The sequence below is a fragment of the Homo sapiens genome, chromosome 3 (genome assembly GCF_000001405.40).
Source record: "Homo sapiens chromosome 3, GRCh38.p14 Primary Assembly".
NCBI classification, from domain to species: Eukaryota; Metazoa; Chordata; class Mammalia; order Primates; family Hominidae; genus Homo; species Homo sapiens.
Genome location: NC_000003.12, coordinates 89,464,490 through 89,484,222, shown reverse-complemented (window position 1 = coordinate 89,484,222; position 19,733 = coordinate 89,464,490). Strand labels below are relative to the sequence as shown.

General features: G+C 36.2%; 1 protein-coding gene across 4 annotated transcripts in view, besides 1 other annotated feature; it reads right to left on the bottom strand.

The window, feature by feature from the left end:
- The window catches only part of EPHA3 (EPH receptor A3), a 374,514-nt gene continuing 356,869 nt past the window's right edge, over positions 2,089-19,733 (bottom strand). For 2 of the 4 annotated variants that reach the window (NM_005233.6, XM_005264715.4), the window contains exons 16-17: positions 11,604-11,759; positions 2,089-4,826 (exon numbers count right to left, since the gene is read on the bottom strand). In NM_005233.6, coding sequence (NP_005224.2) covers positions 4,721-4,826; positions 11,604-11,759 — 262 coding nt within the window. In that variant the 3' untranslated portion in view covers positions 2,089-4,720. The remainder of the gene's footprint in view (positions 4,827-11,603; positions 11,760-19,733) is intronic. The other 2 variants (NM_001410778.1, XM_047447673.1) reach the window with 1 other exon arrangement.
- Positions 17,069-17,659: an enhancer, noted in NCBI's record as "OCT4-NANOG-H3K27ac-H3K4me1 hESC enhancer chr3:89515714-89516304 (GRCh37/hg19 assembly coordinates)". NCBI's record gives its function as "activates a minimal SCP1, AML or CMV promoter by ChIP-STARR-seq in primed H9 embryonic stem cells {active_cell/tissue: H9 hESC(primed)}" and the evidence as "EXISTENCE:reporter gene assay evidence [ECO:0000049][PMID:30033119]".

Below are 19,733 nucleotides of genomic sequence, written 5' to 3'. Positions count from 1 at the left end.
TCATTTTCCTGGCTGGAAGTAGAGGATTTCAAGGCTCGACAAGATGGAGAAAGTGTAGATTCTTAATTATTGCAAAGAAGGCCACCTGGCAAACACCTACTTTGGATCATTCTGTGTTAAAAAACATATTTTTATTATTTTAAGTTGATAATATTTGAGAACTTAACTATGTAGCTAGCATTAACCTAAGAGGTCTTCCAAGAAAAATATATGTCTATATAGGAAACACATAAATATTTGTAATGTAGATCTTTACATACTTTCAAAGACATCTTTCCATATACATTTTTACCCTTGAATTCTTTTTCTTAAAGCTTCAGATTCTCATCCCCAATACTTAGTAACTTATTAAAGTCTGGCTTACACTATATATTTGACAAACCCATGATGTTAAGCTGACTTCTCCTTATTCTCTACTTGGACTAATGGTGCCATCATTTCCACAGACACTCAAGACCTAAATTTTTGTTTTGCTTTGATTTCTATCTTTCGAAGAATTCTCAGAACAAATCGGTAAATTTTGTTAATCCTCTTTCTTTTATATATTTTTGTATGCTTTCCATTCTTCACATCTCTATTACCACCATCCTGGGGTAGATGTATATCTTTGTGCATAGAATACCAAAATAGATTTCTAACATCACATAGTCTATTAGACCTAGTCTCCCCCAAGCCTCTTCTGCAAATTGTCATTGCCACTGTCCCCAGAGCATTGTGGAGATTATAGTAGCTATCACATGATGGGAGGAATACAGAATAGGAAGATTCCAGTTTGAAATATCTATCTACATACTAGGGTGACCTTGGGAAGGTGACTTGGACATTCTGAGCCTGGAGTCCTTTCTCAGATAAAAGTAGCTCATCTCCATTCACAGCACTGTTGCAAACGATTTAATGAGGTAACTTGTAAATGATGATAGCAAAACAACTGGCTCATGATCATGCATACTATGTATTTATTGAATGAATAAATATATTATTTACCTCTTCTCTTCCCCTTAACTTAACTAACTTATCTCCTGCTTACAAGGTATTCTCTACTCCACTCAACTTGACCAAATGCTATTTCTCCTTCAAGGCAAACACAAATCAGACCTGTTTTTTTAATCTCTTCCTAACCACTTCCTTCTCTATGGGAATGTTGATCACTTATTTTATTTTGCATATTTTTGAATTAGCTTTTTTTGATTTTCATATATAATCATTTTCTTTAAGTGGACTGCAATGACAAGGGACCTATTGTATACAAAGTATCAGGTGTGCAGTTGTACTTTTTTTTTTTTTTTTAATTTTTACTTGCTTTATTTGACCTGGCCAGAATTCCTTTCTTCGTTTGTCATAAACAGTATTCTGACTTTCTGTTGGACATAAATTACTTTTACACCTCTAACCCCTGAGCATCACTTTCATATAACCCCACACACTATCTCCAAGGGCAAGCACAGGAGTCAGTACTTGCCAATCTGAGTGATTCATTCTCCAGCCCAAAATGATAGGGCTTGTGATCCAAGAAAGGCCTCATGATCTCTGTTGGAACTAGAGAGACAGTAATTCTTTCATAGGAGTTGCAATGCAGAATTAGATTAAAGAGAGTAGTATTTTTTACCTTGTAGAAAGGTATAGCTTGCAAATCAACCCAGTTGGAAAAAAAATAGGGCCAAGGGAAGAAGACAAAGAATGAGAGAATTAACCCTGTTGACATTGTTTGAATTCCTGGTTCAATCTGTGTCTGATCTCTTAGCTAGGGAGTTTATCCCCAGATAATTCTGTCACTTATTCTAAACATTTTCTTTTTTAGAAAATTAATCCAATTTATTTGTTTTCTGTTATTTGCAATCAAAAGAGAACTGTCTATTACAGTTGTGTTTATTAACTTTGAAATAACATTTACTGATTATTTTTCTGGCTTATTCATAATGAGATGTAGACCAAAAACATGTGGATTATACAATGTAAATCCCTCCTCACTAATGGAGAATAAAAGCCCAGAAGCATATTTTTGTGACTTATGTAAATTTCATTATTTTGCTGTTTAAATAAGCACATAGTTTTATATATTTTTAAAAAACTTCAAAGACCACTTCTGTATTCCAATCTGTAAAAAATATTTTCATTATGTTTATTATAAAAATATAAATGTTTCCACTACAAATCATTTTACATTAGTAAGAGGCCATCTACATTGTACAACATAAACTGAGTAATATTTTGAAAAGACAAGTTTAAAGTAAACACATATTGCCAATCATATCACATTTATACATGGCTTGATTGATATTTAGCACAGCATAAACTGAGTGAGTTACCAGAAATAAATAATATATGTAAATCAAATTTAAGATACAAAACAGATCATATGGTACATAACATCATGTAGGAGTTGTGGCTTTATGTTTACTGAAAGTCAATGCAGTTCCTGTACAAAGAGATGGCCGTAAGCATTCTAGTACCTCTACTCCATGGTTAAGAATCGTACACTTATGTTTACATATGTACAGGGTAAGAATTGTGTAAAGTAAATTTATGAGAGGTCAAGGAGAAAAATATTAATAAAATGAAGAACAGTATATGGTGTATACAACCTCTACTTTCAGATGGAAACCACAGCCAAAATAAGTGAAATAGATTCAACAATCCTCAACTTCTATTAGTTTATGAAATGCATGGGTTTTGTTGAGTATGCTCAGAATAGTACCTAAAAAAGAAAATAGTAGTCTGGGAAAAAATTAGATTGAAACCACATTCAGATCTCATTCTAACATTCCAAACACAAAATACTTGATTTAAAAAAAAAATGTTTTCTAGCTGCTGATAGCAGGTATAAGTGAAATTTGTGATTAATTTTATAATCACAAGTGTATTTTTAAAAATTTCATGCTCTTATATATCCAATACAGAATTCTAGTAGCCTGATTTGACTAAGGAATATTGCCAAGATTTGAGAAACAATCATATCCGAAGGAGCACAATCTAAGTCTTATTACACTAAATCTACAACAGATGAGCACTTGTGAGTTTTGATTTGCGATTGTAAGCTGTGTTTCATTAGCGTTCCATTTTGCATAAGAACATTAAGTTTGCAGCATTATTTTATCCATTCTAGTGACATATGCATTTCTTATACTCAAGATCATATCAGCATTAGAAAGAGTATCAATAGAGCTAAAATGTTGCTTCAGAATATATTACTAGCTAGATATCCACCAGGTACATCTTTTCAAAATTAATGAGCAAGCTCATAGTTAGCCTTTATGTAATAGTAAGTCTAAATCCCTGTGATGAGAAATTTCTCTCCTGCTTACACATTTTGAGGCGGTTGCTAGATGACCAACTATTCTGAAAATGTTATGTCCAGTAAATTCAAAGAAGTTCAATCCTTCTAAGTTACACACCAAAACTGCACCATGTGCATTGAAGTGGAAGACTCTTAAAGATAATAATACCTGGTACTAATGATCACAATGTTTAATTAATTCACCTAAACACCAGTGATACAGAGGAAAAGTTCTGTTATCATCATTCTCTATAAACAGCTCAGCAAGTTTCAGCAACAATAGTAAGTGACTTTTCAAAGCCAGTGAGCCAGTAATTGTTTTTTTTTTTACTCATGCATTGGCCTATAGGCTGTGTTGTCAATTAGTGCAGCATTCTATATAGGATTCCACTTCTCTCCAGTGGAGCTATTCTCGGAAGCTCTAACACGGCTCCTTCACTAAAGGAGGGAGTTGATAGTCTCTAAGCACCAGAGCAGGAAAGGTATGTTATCTGGTTGAAAATCCATTGCATACAAGCTGGTATATTACACTAAGTTGTGAGCATACAGTTTATAATAAACGGAGAGGCAACAATGATTGGGATAACAGATTTGAGAGATTTGGTTAGTGTATGAACAGGAAAAGGATTTCATTTTTTAAAAATATATGTAAGTGGATGGTTCAAAAAATCTGAAAGAAACCCATTATTATCTGTGTCTAGTTAAATTGCTGACAATTTGAGAGAGCATTTGGCACTTGGCTGTAACAAATCCATATTAAATCATCAAGGCATAAATAGAAAACAATAAAAACAATTCAAAAGAAAATAAATATGTACTTTTTTCAAAAATTAAGACATTTCTTTACATGATATACTTAAGGAAGCTAACAATTTAAAAATGTGTAGTACTTAAAACAACTACAAACTTCATCTCTATATGCTTTAAACAGATAAAAGAGAATAATGCAGTGATAAGGTAGTAAATATGGCCAGATAGTTTGAGGTATAAATTCCTCTGTGTTGCTTGCTTTAAAAGAAACAAAATACCTGTTACAGATTTCCTCTGTATATAAAAATATTACAAGTCTTTTCTTTTGTGGCTCTACCTAAACAAAGCCACCATGTCCATTTTGTTATTTCACTTGTTTTGATTTTATGATAGTCAGTTTATGATCAATGGCTATATGCTAGTTCTTCACCATTTTACGCTGAAGAATTAAATTTAATCCATTAACTAATATTTAAAAAAGCAATTACAAAAAAATACCCCACCCACCCATCCAATAAATGATAGGGGAAAATAAAGAGTTTTTCAATTCCATTTTAAGGCATTTGTACTCATATTTGAGTGTCTTATTGGACTTGGAACTTCCACCAGTATCTCCAGAATTATTGTCTGTCTGCAGGATGATGCTACGCCTTCCACAGCCACCACTTCCGTCCAGAAGCACTTCCGTCCCGTGCTTTACACGGGAACTGGGCCATTCTTTGATTGCGTTTCTAGAGCTTTAATGCTACTGATGATCTTCTTCTGTGGCCCAACCACGGTGACACCAACCTTTTTCATGTCACTGTAAAAAAAGAAAACAATATAAGAATCGGTTTCCTCGATAGTGTATAAGCAGGAGATTTTCAATTAGCACAATTTGCACGATGTTATATTCTAGTACTGTGGACCTAATTGTCTGATATTTGCATCATCTGTGTTATGTCCGGACCGTTCCACCATCTTGTAGAAGGCTATATAGATGGTGTAGTGGGTTGAATAGAGTTTCCCCAAAATCTCTGTCAATCCCAAACCTCAAAATGCGATTTTATTTGGATAGAGGGTCACTGCAGATGTAATTAATACACCGATTGGGAAAATATCTTACTGGATTAGGGTGGTACATAAATCCAGTGACAGTTTCCTTATAAGAGAATAGGATACACAGAGAAGAAGGCGATGTACAAATGGAGTCAGAGATTGGAGTTATGTTGCCACAATCCAGAGAATACCAGGATCCACCAGAAACTAGAAGAGACGAGGAAGAATTCACCCCTAGAGACTGGAGCAATTATGGTACTGCCAACATCTTGATTTCAGACTTCTGCCACCAGAATTCTAAGAAAAAACTTCTGTTGTTTAAGCCAATAAATTTGTGGTAACTTCTTGTGGCAGCCTTAGGAAACTAATATCAATGATCACACATTCTTTGTGGGGTTTTATCTCTTTCCCTTGAATCTGGGGACTGCTTCAGCTAACAGAGTACGCCAGAATTGACATTGTATCACTTTCTTCATTCAGGTCTTAGGAAACTGCCAGCCTCTACTTATTGCTTGAGATATCCTCTCTGGGGGCTCTAGAGCTGCCATATAAAAAGTCTGACTACCTGATACTATTTCACAGGAGAGGCCATATGTAAGCACCTTGGCCTACAATCCCAGGTGAGACCAGCTGTACAGCTAACTGTACCAAGGCAGACGTCGAAATGAAAGCATCTCCAGCCCTCCACACCAGATCAGTCCATTTGGCAGCTGTAAGCTTCTGTCAACATCAACCTCAGAGCACAAAGAATCACCCACCTGAGCTCTGCCCTCATTTATAACCCACAACACTATGATGTATAATAAACCTCTTGCTGTTTTAGCCTTTAAGTTTTCGGGGAGGCTGCTGTGCAGCCATAGATAACTGGAATAATCTCATTAAAGTACACAGTTCTTTCAAAGTAGAAAAACAATGACAAAGACCTATCTCTTTTATTAAATATATAATAATTTAAAGTCAGAAAGTAGGCATTAAAATAAAGATTATAAAAACATAAGGAATTTCATTTAGGTAAAAAAGACAGCTAATGTGCAAATGGTTAATTATATATTCTTGTTTCAAGTAATTAGTTCATATATTCCTGTCTTTCAGGATTGAGAGATGCTCAAACATCCCCCTCTAATGAAATCTTCCCCAACCCTCCTATTTAATATTTTAAAACTTTTCTGTACTTGTATCTGCACTTTCTGTTTTCTTTTCTTGTTTCATTTTCTTCCAAAGCATTTATTACCATCTGACATATTGACTTTCTTTCTGATTTATTTTCTTTATTCCCTATCTTACTCCACAAGAAGGTAAATTCCATGTGAACTGGGATTCTTTTTTTTTTCTCGTACTCTGTTTACCAACAGCAACCTAAACAATGGCTGCCAGTTAGTGGGCTCAATACAAATTTGCTAAAGAAAGAAACATACAAAATATATTTTTCTGGGTAAAGATGACCAGGGCGTAAAGTATCATTTGTCAAGGAGAGCCAGGAAAATTGAGAATGGCAAGGAAAAAAGAACACGTGTGAACACACCACACACAGACACAGACACACACACACACACAGAGGGGATTCCTTTATACTGAGCATAAAGAAAGAAAAAATTGGGAATTCAACTACACAGAAATGGATTAATCGATTTCTTAAGAAATGGGTTCCTAGGCAATAAAGGTGTTCAAGAAAACAATAGGTAACCATTTGAGAAGAAATGTAGTTGTTATTTAAGCATTAGGGCATTAAATTAACCGAGACTCTACTGAATTCCTACCATCTGGGCTGAGAAGGTTCCTGATGACCTTCAGGTTCCCTCCCTGCTGACTGTCAAAGGGCTGATAAATCCTCTCTGGAGAGCTTGTGCCTTGCCTTAGGCCCTATCTGATCATACTCTTTCTCAGGAAGGCTAGTGGGGATGTATGGGAATGTGAGGCTTGCCACGCTTAGTGTACTGCGGATGATGGAAGCCTTCACTTGGAGTAATGTATGCTACTTCTGTTGATCCCTGCCTTTGAGAATGTGCGTTACAGGATTTTGATAAACATACCATGAATCTACCTTTAAAACAAAGAATAAACATTTCTCCACTTATCCCCAAACGACAGCAAAGTCAGTTTTTGAGTCTAGAGCCAGAAAACAGGACAGATACAAGTATGGGTATGCAAATCAATAGATTCTCACTCTTTCTTTTTTCTTTCATCTTCTTCCAATACCATATCCTATGTTTTATGACTAGATGATTTTTTGTCCTTTGTCTCTTCCCTTTCCCCTTCCTAAAATAATAGTCATGGAATGTAATCCCAGCACTTTGGGAGGCCGAGGCGGGTGAATCACGAGGTCAGGAGAGCAAGACCATCCTGACTAACGCGGTGATACCCCGTCTCTATTAAAAATACAAAAAAATTAGCGGGGCGTGGTGGCGGGCGCCTGTACTCCCAGCTACTCCGGAGGCTGAGGCAGGAGAATGGCGTGAACCCAGGAGGCGGAGCTTGCAGTGAGCCGAGATCGCGCCACTGCACTCCAGCCTGGGCGACAGAGCGAGAATCCGCCTCAAAAAAATTAAATAAATAAATAAATAAATAAATAAATAAAAATAATAATAGTCATGGAAAGTAAATATATATAATATTTATATTATATGAGTAAATATATATATATAATATTTATATATTCCAATGCAGTAATTGCCTGAGCTCTTTGAGAAATTTAAGCATAGTTACTGAGTGCTGCTTGCTATGATGTTTGGCCCTGATCTTCCTTCTGAACTGAAGCACTCATCCCCAAGTGGCTGGAAAAAAAAATGTGATGCTGAGTTCACAGACTGATTTGAGACATTCCTCATCACTTCTTCATAGCTGCACCTCCTGAGTGTATTCCTCAAGAAATGTTCTGCAAAAAACTGTTTTACATTCTGTATCTGTGAACCCAATATAAGCAAACATATATATATATAATATGCTTATATATATACATGTTTATATATATATACATGTTTATATATGTTATCTACAATATATAAACATTATATATTATATATAATATATAATATATATTTTTATATATTTATATAAATATACTACATATAAATGTTTTATATACAATTTTTTTACTTAATGCAAATGATTATATTGGACTTTTGAAAAGAGAATTAAAGTAATTATCCATTTGGGTTATTCCTTAGCTAGGGCTTTTAAACACCCTCTAGTCTCTCTATTCTTGCCCGAATATCTTCTGTCCACTACTCTGCATGTCCAAAATAATTTGGAACCCCCAGTTGCTGCTGTCTCCATAACACTCTGTGTGCTCATTTCATTTTGACTGTCCTGTTCAGAAGAGTGGCGGAAAAGTTCAAGACTAAAGAGCAGCTCCAGACTGAGACCAGAGGTTAAAGTGTTATCTGGTACTTCAAAGGCAAAGGGATAGGTGATGACACTTTGAAAATGGCATCCAAGGGTGCAGGATAATGACATGTGGCAATGAATCTGCTTAATATTCATTCCACACACTTAATTCTCTTTCTAGTTCCACAGTCACAGCCACTCTAACCTTTCCCTTTCTCTCTTCCTTTCTCACTTTAACCTTCCTAAATCCATCTTAGGTTATGAAATAATGTCTTGAAATATGTATTTATTAAACAAAATTGCATGTGTTCTGGGCTTTGTTCAAAAATGAGATAACTTGAGTAGCTTGCATGTCAATGAAATCTCTAAACTAACGAAAATAAATTAATATGCATTTGAATGTGAAATTTTATTGATCTTTTCCTATACTTTGACAGCCTGAATAGGAATAAAGGTATCTTTTTCTATTCTAGGAGGATCTCCACAGTTATTTGGTCGAGCAAATCATTTCTGAATTGAGTCTGGATGGCACAAAGAAAATACAGACTGAAAGCAATCAAATTCAAACAATAAGCCAGGAACCCGAAAGAAAGCTAAAATATCTAGCTCAATATTTTACAGCATTTATGCTGAAAATGTTGCCTCATTATATTTACCCAAATTATTAGTATGTTAAAGACTTTTAATAAATTCTCTTTTTGTAATATAAATTAGGAGCATGAGGTGCATGACACTATGAAGACTCAAGGAAAAAAGCAGCTCCTTTCAAGAAGGAGTGTTAGGGCAAAGGTGTTAATCCTATATTGTCCCTGAATTGAGGAGAAAGGACAGAAGAAGGAATATTGTGGGGAGTGCAATATGGACATATCCATACCACCTGACTCAGTGTGCAGGACAAACCTGAAAAAGCTGTCTTTCAGGAAAAGTCAGTTTTCATCTTGAATGTATATTCACAGGTTGTTCAAATAATAATAACAATTAAGTAAAAATATTCCAATCAGCCAAAAAGAGTTTGACGTCCAACATGGTATTGCTGACATAAGTAATGTCGCTAACTTGGAAAGTATGACAAATGCTGTCATTCACTTTTTTAAAGCAAATAGCTTTCTTATCACATTCATAGCTTATAATGGCTGACAATATTTGAATTGCAAACTAGCAGTTAATCTTATCAACAGTGTTCTGCCTCATACATTTCAATATAGTGTTTCAATATCTAAAAGTTTTGAGTGTTGATATTTTATTGAGAGTAAACATTTGCATAACTTTGCCTTTGAAAATCTGGCAGTGATGTGGACATGTTCAACTTTGTGTTTGCTTTTCGCTATGCTTCTGTGCTCTACAGCAGGTGTTTTGTGTATCATAACCCTAACTGTTTATATTACTAAAATAAGAATTTATAAAAATATTTAAACACATGACTATATCCTGAGACTGTATCTGATCAAAATAAGTACCACAGAAACCCAAGTGTACTGTCGATTGGGTCAGAAGTCTATTCAATAAACACCACATTCCACTTTGAACAAGAATGCTGGTGCATGTTAAATTGACTAGGGTAAGTTTATTTTTTTAGAACAAGTCCTCTTCTTCAATAATCGTAAACTGTTCCTGTAAGTCCTTCTTTGGCTTTATGTCTTTCTGATTGTAATGTTACACCATAAATTATAAACTTATTTATTTGTTTGTTGGGCACTTATATCTATTAATTACATGGCATGTTCTTTTCTGGCATCTAATCTGTTATTTTTCACAGTGATGTTGAATGATTGACAGGGTGGCAATGAAAGTCTTTATATATTCAACAATATTTAAATATTTAAATATTAGTGGGAGATGATAATACTTAAACTTGGGGGACTAAAGGGTTTATTTAATTTAACAAAGATCAAAGAAAGACTGACACAAAGATGAACAGTTTCCCAATAGACCATGCAAGCGACAACATGCTGGACAACTTTTGGTGTATCTATCCAGTATACACTTCTTTCTTTGGGACAGTTCTCCATCTTATCTTCAGGAAAAGGCCCCTAGAGCCAAGTTCATACTACCTCATTCTACTTCTTTTGAAGATAAATGACTAGATACTAGTAAACATATGACTTTGGAGGTGCCAATGTACAAGTGGGACTGAGCCAGTCCTACTTTCTCTCCTGGTAACTTAGATTAAGGGAGTTGGACCCTGGTCAGTTGAATGGCACTATAAGGCTATATGACCAAGAGTTTAGAAAGCCAGTTTTTAGCTATGCGCATGGGAATCCAGAAAATGTCACTGTGCAGAAAAAGAAAAAATTATGTAGTCACATTAGGAAGTGAAGTAAATTGGTTCTCAATCACAGTGAGATGAAGAATGTGACTTCCAACTCTTAATTTATCAATTCCCAAACACTCTACTTTGTGAATAAGAACCAAATTTTTGACTATTCACTGGATTCACTTGATTCTTTATATACCACCTTTCCTTGAGTCCATGTGTTTCTCATATCAAAAGATTCCTGTTACCCAAAGATGATTGTCCACAAAATACAGCATATTATACTTGATTATTATTGGTTTTTAACACATAAAGCTATCAATTAATATTAATATTATGACGCATATTTTTTCTTTCTCATCTGGCAATAAGCCTTTTGAGGAAAACCCAAAAATTCTATCTTAAACCTAATTATAACTTCATTTTCTAGCATGATATCCTTTACAGGGTAGACAATGATGAATACATGTTGTTATGTTTATTTAGCAACTATGAAAACCAGTTTTAGACTTTAATATGTTTCCTTGTATACCACATTATCTACTTGGCTCTCAATTTTCCTGATTCACAGATGTTAAGCTTTAGTAAAAATAACAGAAAAATCACAAAATGCAGAAATATAATAATCATCAATCTATGTCTGCTTATGTTTTAAATTAGGGGCTTGAGTCTGCAGTGTGGTTATGGGTGTGAATCTGTTGGTTGATCTGAAGGTCATATCTAAAGACACCGATCCTGGGCCCTATCTTGAGAGAGGAAGACACATCAATATGTATCAATCCAGAAGCTGTGGGCCACAAGGAGACCCAGGGCCCTGATTAGCAGTTCCAGGCGGTAGTCAGTACCTCAGATCTACCACTAATATTTGTAACATGTCAAGCCAAGATGTTACAAATCTTTCATGTCAAGCCAAGAAAGTTCAAAAGAATCCTTCATTCTTCTTAATGAATTTTTTTTTCTTACTCTGTGGAAATCTTGGCTATTGTGTCACAAGAACTGTACTCCACACCCGTGAAGATTTCCTTGCAGTGTGCTGTCCAGACACCATTAAGCCAGTCACCTGTTGTGCGGAAGGTAGTGATATCCACATTGCTTTGGTCCAGAAGAAGGTTTGATGGCCTGCAAGAAAAAAAACACCAAAGGGAGACAGATCAGGAGTCAGCAGAGTTGCTGTGTGTCAAAATTTGACACTAACATCGGCAGGAACTTCCAGACTTCATATGGTGTTCCTTTCATTTGTGGAATTTATCTGCCATGAAAGCTTCATCTGTTCAAGCTGGCAGCTTGGAGGAACGCCGTGTAATCATCTTGTCTAAGTTCTCCCCTTCTCCATCCACAAATGCTTTTAAATCACTGAAAATTTTCCAGTGAAAGACATAAATATATCCATACATATTTTATTATCATTGAATTTAATCACTAGCAAAAATGGTAGTAATTTAGGATACGGTTACAGTAGGCAGGACACACTGAATTCTTTGCTGTCTGCTTTGATGATGGATTCAGTTTCAATATTTTAAGTATTTCCCACTGGATGTTTGTTTGTTTGTTTGACATTGCACAGGTTGCTGTCTAAAGAATGGCTTGAACAATCTAGGCTACACTCACAGCAGGACATAAACTCAATACAGAGTTAAATAATGCTGCATGTCATTAAAAATAAAAAATAATAGAAAAAAGTAGATGACTGATAAGAAAAAACATTCTTGCATACTTGACACCAAATGAAGTTCATGATATATATATGCAACACATTATTCATGATATATACATTATATATGTAATGTGTTTATATACACATGATATATACATAATATTTTATATATATACACACACACATACACACACACACACAGAGACTCAGAGAGGGATTGTAATTGTGATTTATATTGCACAATACAATCAGCTTTAAGAAAAAGGGCCGGGCGCAGTGGCTCACTCCTGTAATCCCAGCACTTTGGGAGGTTGAGGCCGGCGGGTCACCTGAGGTCAGGAGTTCGAGACCAACCTCACCAACATGGAGAAACTCCATCTCTACTAAAAATACCAAATTAGCCATGGTGGCACATGCCTGTAATCCCAGCTACTCGGGACGCTGAAGCAGGAGAATCGCTTGAACCTGGGAGGCGAAGGTTGCGGTGAGCCGAGTTCATGCCATTGCACTCCAGCCTGGGCAACAGGAGCGAAACTCCGTCTCAAAAAGAAAGAGAGAAAGAAAAAGGACTTCCTTCTAGGATTTTTTTATATAAATACAGGCCTAAACATCTATCTATAACCACCTGCAAGACCTGGTAAATCAATGGAACAGAAGAGGCATAAAGGAAATGAATGAGACAATGTTTGCCTCCCTGAAGAGGCAAAAGAAGCAGACTGTTGGTGAAATGTCTTTGGTGTGTTTTTTTTTTTCTTCAGCTCTTAGTGGCCTCTTTAATTGTCCTTTGACTTATAAGACTGGAGCCAGTCACTAGGTGAACAATATATTGACTTCTCTCTTCTTTTCTCCTAAGGAAGGGAGCTTGGGCACAAGGTAGTTATAAAAGCCTTTAGTTTTGGATGAATAATAACAATGACAGAAATAAGTTTTTAAGGCCCTTGTTTTCATATTATATCAAACGTTCATGTGCACTCAATGTGGCAGGCATCATGCTAAGAATATTACACAGACATGAAGGACCTTAATCCTTACAGTACCTGTTAGGCACTGATGCTATCCTCTGAGATAGATAAAGAAGCTGAAACTAAATCACATTAAGTTACGAAGCTAAGTTTCCTCAGGCAAAAGAGGCAGAGCTGGCCTTTAGACCCACATTATTCTATACCACAGTCCACATTCTTGACTGGTACACTGTGCCATTTAGGTAAAACTTTGTTCATATTGCATTTCCCCTGTTTTTTCTTAAATGATTTATGATTCCATCATGTGGCATATTCGATGTTTATATGCCCTGAAGTTTAGTGCACAGATACTGGAACCGTAAGGCCTGGGTTGAATCCCAGGTATACCACATACTATTTGTGTGACCTTGGTGAATTTCTTGTCTGTTTCCTCATCTGTAAAATGGGGATGATGGTGAGGATATCAATTTCACACAAATGAAGATTAAATGAGCATATGTGGGAAGCACTTAGAACAGTGCTGGCTCATAATAAGCACTATGTGTTAGCTGTTCATTATTCTTATGTAAATGGTGAAATGGTTAAACTTCTGAAAACTTCAAAAAGAAAATAGCAGAGTAAATATCAGTTTATATATAATGCTGGGAATGCAATGATCTTGTTAACCACCATTTTAAGTAACTAGAAATTTAGTCATATATAATATTATGTACATAATAGTATAACAACCCTGAAAAGTAGCCATTATTAGGGGCTTCATTAGAATAGTCAGTAACTTTTACAACTTCACAATCATTCCACTGCAAATGCTTGAAAACAGAAGTGCTATTCTGCTGTCTGTGATTTTTTTCATTATTGTAATAAAATATAGTATTAATGTTAAAACTTTATATATAATTTAATCTTTATTTAATAATTAAGAGGGTATATTTTGATTTTTTGCCGTTTTAGTTCTTCAGAATCTTTCAATAAAAATCTCCAAAATTAGGAGTATTAAAACTAGAACTTCATATTTTTCTTATATACTTGAAATGAAAGATTAGTCTAAGTGAAGTCTGTCATTTGAAGTGTTTAAATTCAAAGTTTAGAATTTGTGGTGAGAAGACACCAAAACAAATAATATATCGACATGCATTTATCCTTATTTTAGACATAAATTTAGGTCTCTAAGGGGCTAATTTCAATATCTTTAGAAATAGCATGAAATAGCAAAATGAACAATATACATGAAATAAAACTGTATAATGTTTTACATATGAGTAGCAATCATTGATTACCATCTAGGATATGTGGTAAAAGCTCCTGTTCTAAATGAGAAAATCTATGAAGCAAATCTGTGCCAGCTCTGCGCACACTTAAATAGGTCTTTTAATTGAGAGGTTTATACCACTTCTGGTGATATTCTTCAACTTACTCTCTTATGTACAAAAGACCTGCTCAAGTGTAAAGTTGATTCGTGAGCCAGGATAATTTTAGATCGTGCCCTACACCTACATGCTATTACTTGGAACATATGAGAAGTTTGTGAATTCACTATCTGGATTTTTACAGCGATGCATGAAACGTATTTGATAAAAATGGTCACATTTTAGTGCAGTTTTAACCCTGAGTTTCAGGAAAAAAAAATTGCAACATTGGTTCTGACTCTATTTACATACTCTGTGGAAAATATAGATTAATAGTCCCCTCTCTGTGATGGTCATTTGTGTAGTGGAGGGAAGTTGAAAGGGAAGGATTCTTCAAACTTCTGTCCACTAGACTAAACTCAATTACCTCAATCCTTTTTACTTCACAAGTTCAAATTATAAATTGAAAATCTTAATTATGGAGTTTATAATTTCTATTTCTCTGATATAGTTTAGTTTTACTAACTCTCAGAGATTATCTAAAAAAGGATTGGGCCATATTATATAAATATTAATTTTTTCCTTTAGCAATATCAGGAAAACTATAAAATATCAATATAACATTTCATAAGTTATCTTCTTCTGAAACATATATGCAAACGACTTTATGATTTTTTAAATTACTCATCTTAGGAAGAAAAACAGCTTATTTTTATAATTGAAAATTTTGTATTTTTATTCTTTTCCTAAGAACTTGAGTAATTACAGATATACACCAAAATGTACACAATATTCATGGGTTGTTTCAGCATAGTTATCATGAGTGAAATAGTCTTTGTCACTAGCAAGCATTAGACATTACATTAGACTCATTGGATAAGTCATTGAACCACTAAAAAATTGATAAGAATAGCATTAAATCAGGTGTGAGAAGATTTTAGAAGAAAAATCATGTGAAACCTAGAATGAGACAAGACATTAAACTATCTACAGGCATGCGCGCGCACACGCCACAGTTTCTCTGTCTACAGTAGCTGGAGCACAGAATCTTATGTCAAGTTTTAGTCCCATGAATAGTAATACTTTTTTATTTATGGGTTTGTGGGTATGAAGAATCAAACCCCAGGACATTTATTCAGAATATTTATGAAGTGTGCCTAATAGCAAAATGCAGAATTCTTTCTTCTCAGTTCAGAATAGTTTGTACTTTTACACTCAACACTTTAGCCAGACTCAACAAGAGTTTAGAGAAAATTAGTATAAACAAATTGAAATAGAACAGGACGTGTGGATTAAGGATTAGTGACCCCAACTGAGTTTGTCTGTTTATGACTTGGATCAAAGTGCATCCAAGACAAAAAAAAATGACCTAATTTTAATGCCAATGACCTCAGAATAACTAGCCCTGCAAAGTATCATTTTTCCACTTCCAGGATTTCTCTGGGGATTTCAAATAAAAATTGGTTCCTTTCCTCCTCAGAGAGGACATCTGGAGAGTTTATCAATGGATAGGAATTTGTCTCTCACTGTGAAGAGCCTGTGATGTCTCTTCATGCGCACCAAGGGAATCTGGGCCTTTGAGCAGCTGCAGGCATTGGCGTTTTTTCAGACCCAGCCCCAGACATTGGTCTGAAGGGGAAATTTATAGGCTGGGTGATGTGCACCGTGAGCTCACACTTTTACTAGACAAATTAGATAGGTTTCAATCCATGCAGCTGTAAACGATGTCCTACAGAGCTCCACCTGATCTTTTACAGCTTTTCATAAATCAGTACCTACTGGCTACAGACCGCAGTCATTAAAAAGAAATCATGGAAATTACATATTTGCTCAGGGGAAGTGAAAAATAACTTTCTTCCCTTTCTTTCTCTCTCTTTCTATTAAGATTTGTGAATTATTCTTTCATGGGTTTTATACTGTTGCATTAGAGAGGTACATATATATTTTCTTCCCATCAATTCCTATTTTAGCTGTAAATAGGTGCATAAAAATTAGCACCAGATACTGGGGAAAAAGCTCAATAAACAACTGCCAATCCCAGGAATATCTTCGGGTAATAATCTTATTTCAATGCTACCTTAGAATTCTGAATCTCTAGTTATCCATTTCTCACTTAATAGACTCCTTTTGATTACAAAGAGATTTACTCCTCAAATATCAAAAATAATAACTAATACACATTTCTTGAATGAATAAGTATATGCCTATTATGTCTACAAGGAGGTAATAACATTGGAGATGCATACTGTAACATTATAATTATTTTTTATTTGTTGTGAATAGTTTCAGGAAATACATTAAATCTAAAAAGCAACTTTTTAAAGCCAAAATACTAATAATTGTATCTGAATTTATTATTGTTTGAGAATAGTAATATATTTTTTCCGTACATTTTATAACTGTTTTTTAAAATTTCAAATGTTTCCCCAATGTATTTCAGGGGGAAAATCTTATATTTGCCAATTTATTTTAATGTTGATTGCCGATGACCTTGATCTTTATCACTAAAATTAAAAATCCAGATACGATAAAATGAATTTAATTTTTCATCAGTAACTAAAAATAATTTTGAATATATACAGTTCCCAACAGGAACCTAGTACATAAATGACACATTAAGGAGAAATAAAGTCATTGTGTTTATTTTAATTATCTCTAGGCCTTAAGGACAAAAATCTTTGAAGTTATAGCCGTTACACCTGGTTTAATTCCTCCGTGTGGTAAAATTAGCTGTTTTGATTTTAAGATTAAAAAAGAGAGACAGGAGGGAGGAGCCAAGATGGCCGAATAGGAACAGCTCCGGTCTACAGCTCCCAGCGTGAGCGACGCATAAGACGGTGATTTCTGCATTTCCATCTGAGGTACCGGGTTCATCTCACTAGGGAGTGCCAGACAGTGGGCGCAGGCCAGTGTGTGTGCGCACCGTGCGCGAGCCGAAGCAGGGCGAGGCATTGCCTCACCTGGGAAGCGCAAGGGGTCAGGGAGTTCCCTTTCCGAGTCAAAGAAAGGGGTGACGGACGCACCTGGAAAATCGGGTCACTCCCACCCGAATATTGCGCTTTTCAGACCGGCTTAAGAAACGGCGCACCACAAGACTATATCCCACACCTGGCTCGGAGGGTCCTACGCCCACGGAGTCTCGCTGATTGCTAGCACAGCAGTCTGAGATCAAACTGCAAGGCGGCAACGAGGCTGGGGGAGGGGCGCCCGCCATTGCCCAGGCTTGCTTAGGTAAACAAAGCAGCCAGGAAGCTCGAACTGGGTGGAGCCCACCACAGCTCAAGGAGGCCTGCCTGCCTCTGTAGGCTCCACCTCTGGGGGCAGGGCACAGACAAACAAAAAGACAGCAGTAACCTCTGCAGACTTAAGTGTCCCTGTCTGACAGCTTTGAAGAGAGCAGTGGTTCTCCCAGCACGCAGCTGGAGATCTGAGAACAGGCAGACTGCCTCCTCAAGTGGGTCCCTGACTCCTGACCCCCGAGCAGCCTAACTGGGAGGCACCCCCCAGCAGGGGCACACTGACACCTCACACGGCAGGGTATTCCAACAGACCTGCAGCTGAGGGTCCTGTCTGTTAGAAGGAAAACTAACAACCAGAAAGGACATCTACACCGAAAACCCATCTGTACATCACCATCATCAAAGACCAAAAGTAGATAAAACCACAAAGATGGGGAAAAAACAGAACAGAAAAACTGGAAACTCTAAAACGCAGAGCGCCTCTCCTCCTCCAAAGGAACGCAGTTCCTCACCAGCAACAGAACAAAGCTGGATGGAGAATGATTTTGACGAGCTGAGAGAAGAAGGCTTCAGACGATCAAATTACTCTGAGCTACGGGAGGACATTCAAACCAAAGGCAAAGAAGTTGAAAACTTTGAAAAAAATTTAGAAGAATGTATAACTAGAATAACCAATACAGAGAAGTGCTTAAAGGAGCTGATGGAGCTGAAAACCAAGGCTCGAGAACTACGTGAAGAATGCAGAAGCCTCAGGAGCCGATGCGATCAACTGGAAGAAAGGGTATCAGCAATGGAAGATGAAATGAATGAAATGAAGCGAGAAGGGAAGTTTAGAGAAAAAAGAATAAAAAGAAATGAGCAAAGCCTCCAAGAAATATGGGACTATGTGAAAAGACCAAATCTACGTCTGATTGGTGTACCTGAAAGTGATGTGGAGAATGGAACCAAGTTGGAAAACACTCTGCAGGATATTATCCAGGAGAACTTCCCCAATCTAGCAAGGCAGGCCAACGTTCAGATTCAGGAAATACAGAGAACGCCACAAAGATACTCCTCGAGAAGAGCAACTCCAAGACACATAATTGTCAGATTCACCAAAGTTGAAATGAAGGAAAAAATGTTAAGGGCAGCCAGAGAGAAAGGTCGGGTTACCCTCAAAGGAAAGCCCATCAGACTAACAGCGGATCTCTCGGCAGAAACCCTACAAGCCAGAAGAGAGTGGGGGCCAATATTCAACATTCTTAAAGAAAAGAATTTTCAACCCAGAATTTCATATCCAGCCAAACTAAGCTTCATAAGTGAAGGAGAAATAAAATACTTTATAGACAAGCAAATGTTGAGAGATTTTGTCACCACCAGGCCTGCCCTAAAAGAGCTCCTGAAGGAAGCGCTAAACATGGAAAGGAACAACCGGTACCAGCCGCTGCAAAATCATGCCAAAATGTAAAGACCATCGAGACTAGGAAGAAACTGCATCAACTAATGAGCAAAATCACCAGCTAACATCATAATGACAGGATCAAATTCACACATAACAATATTAACTTTAAATATAAATGGACTAAATTCTGCAATTAAAAGACACAGACTGGCAAGTTGGATAAAGAGTCAAGACCCATCAGTGTGCTGTATTCAGGAAACCCATCTCACGTGCAGAGACACACATAGGCTCAAAATAAAAGGATGGAGGAAGATCTACCAAGCCAATGGAAAACAAAAAAAGGCAGGGGTTGCAATCCTAGTCTCTGATAAAACAGACTTTAAACCAACAAAGATCAAAAGAGACAAAGAAGGCCATTACATAATGGTAAAGGGATCAATTCAACAAGAGGAGCTAACTATCCTAAATATTTATGCACCCAATACAGGAGCACCCAGATTCATAAAGCAAG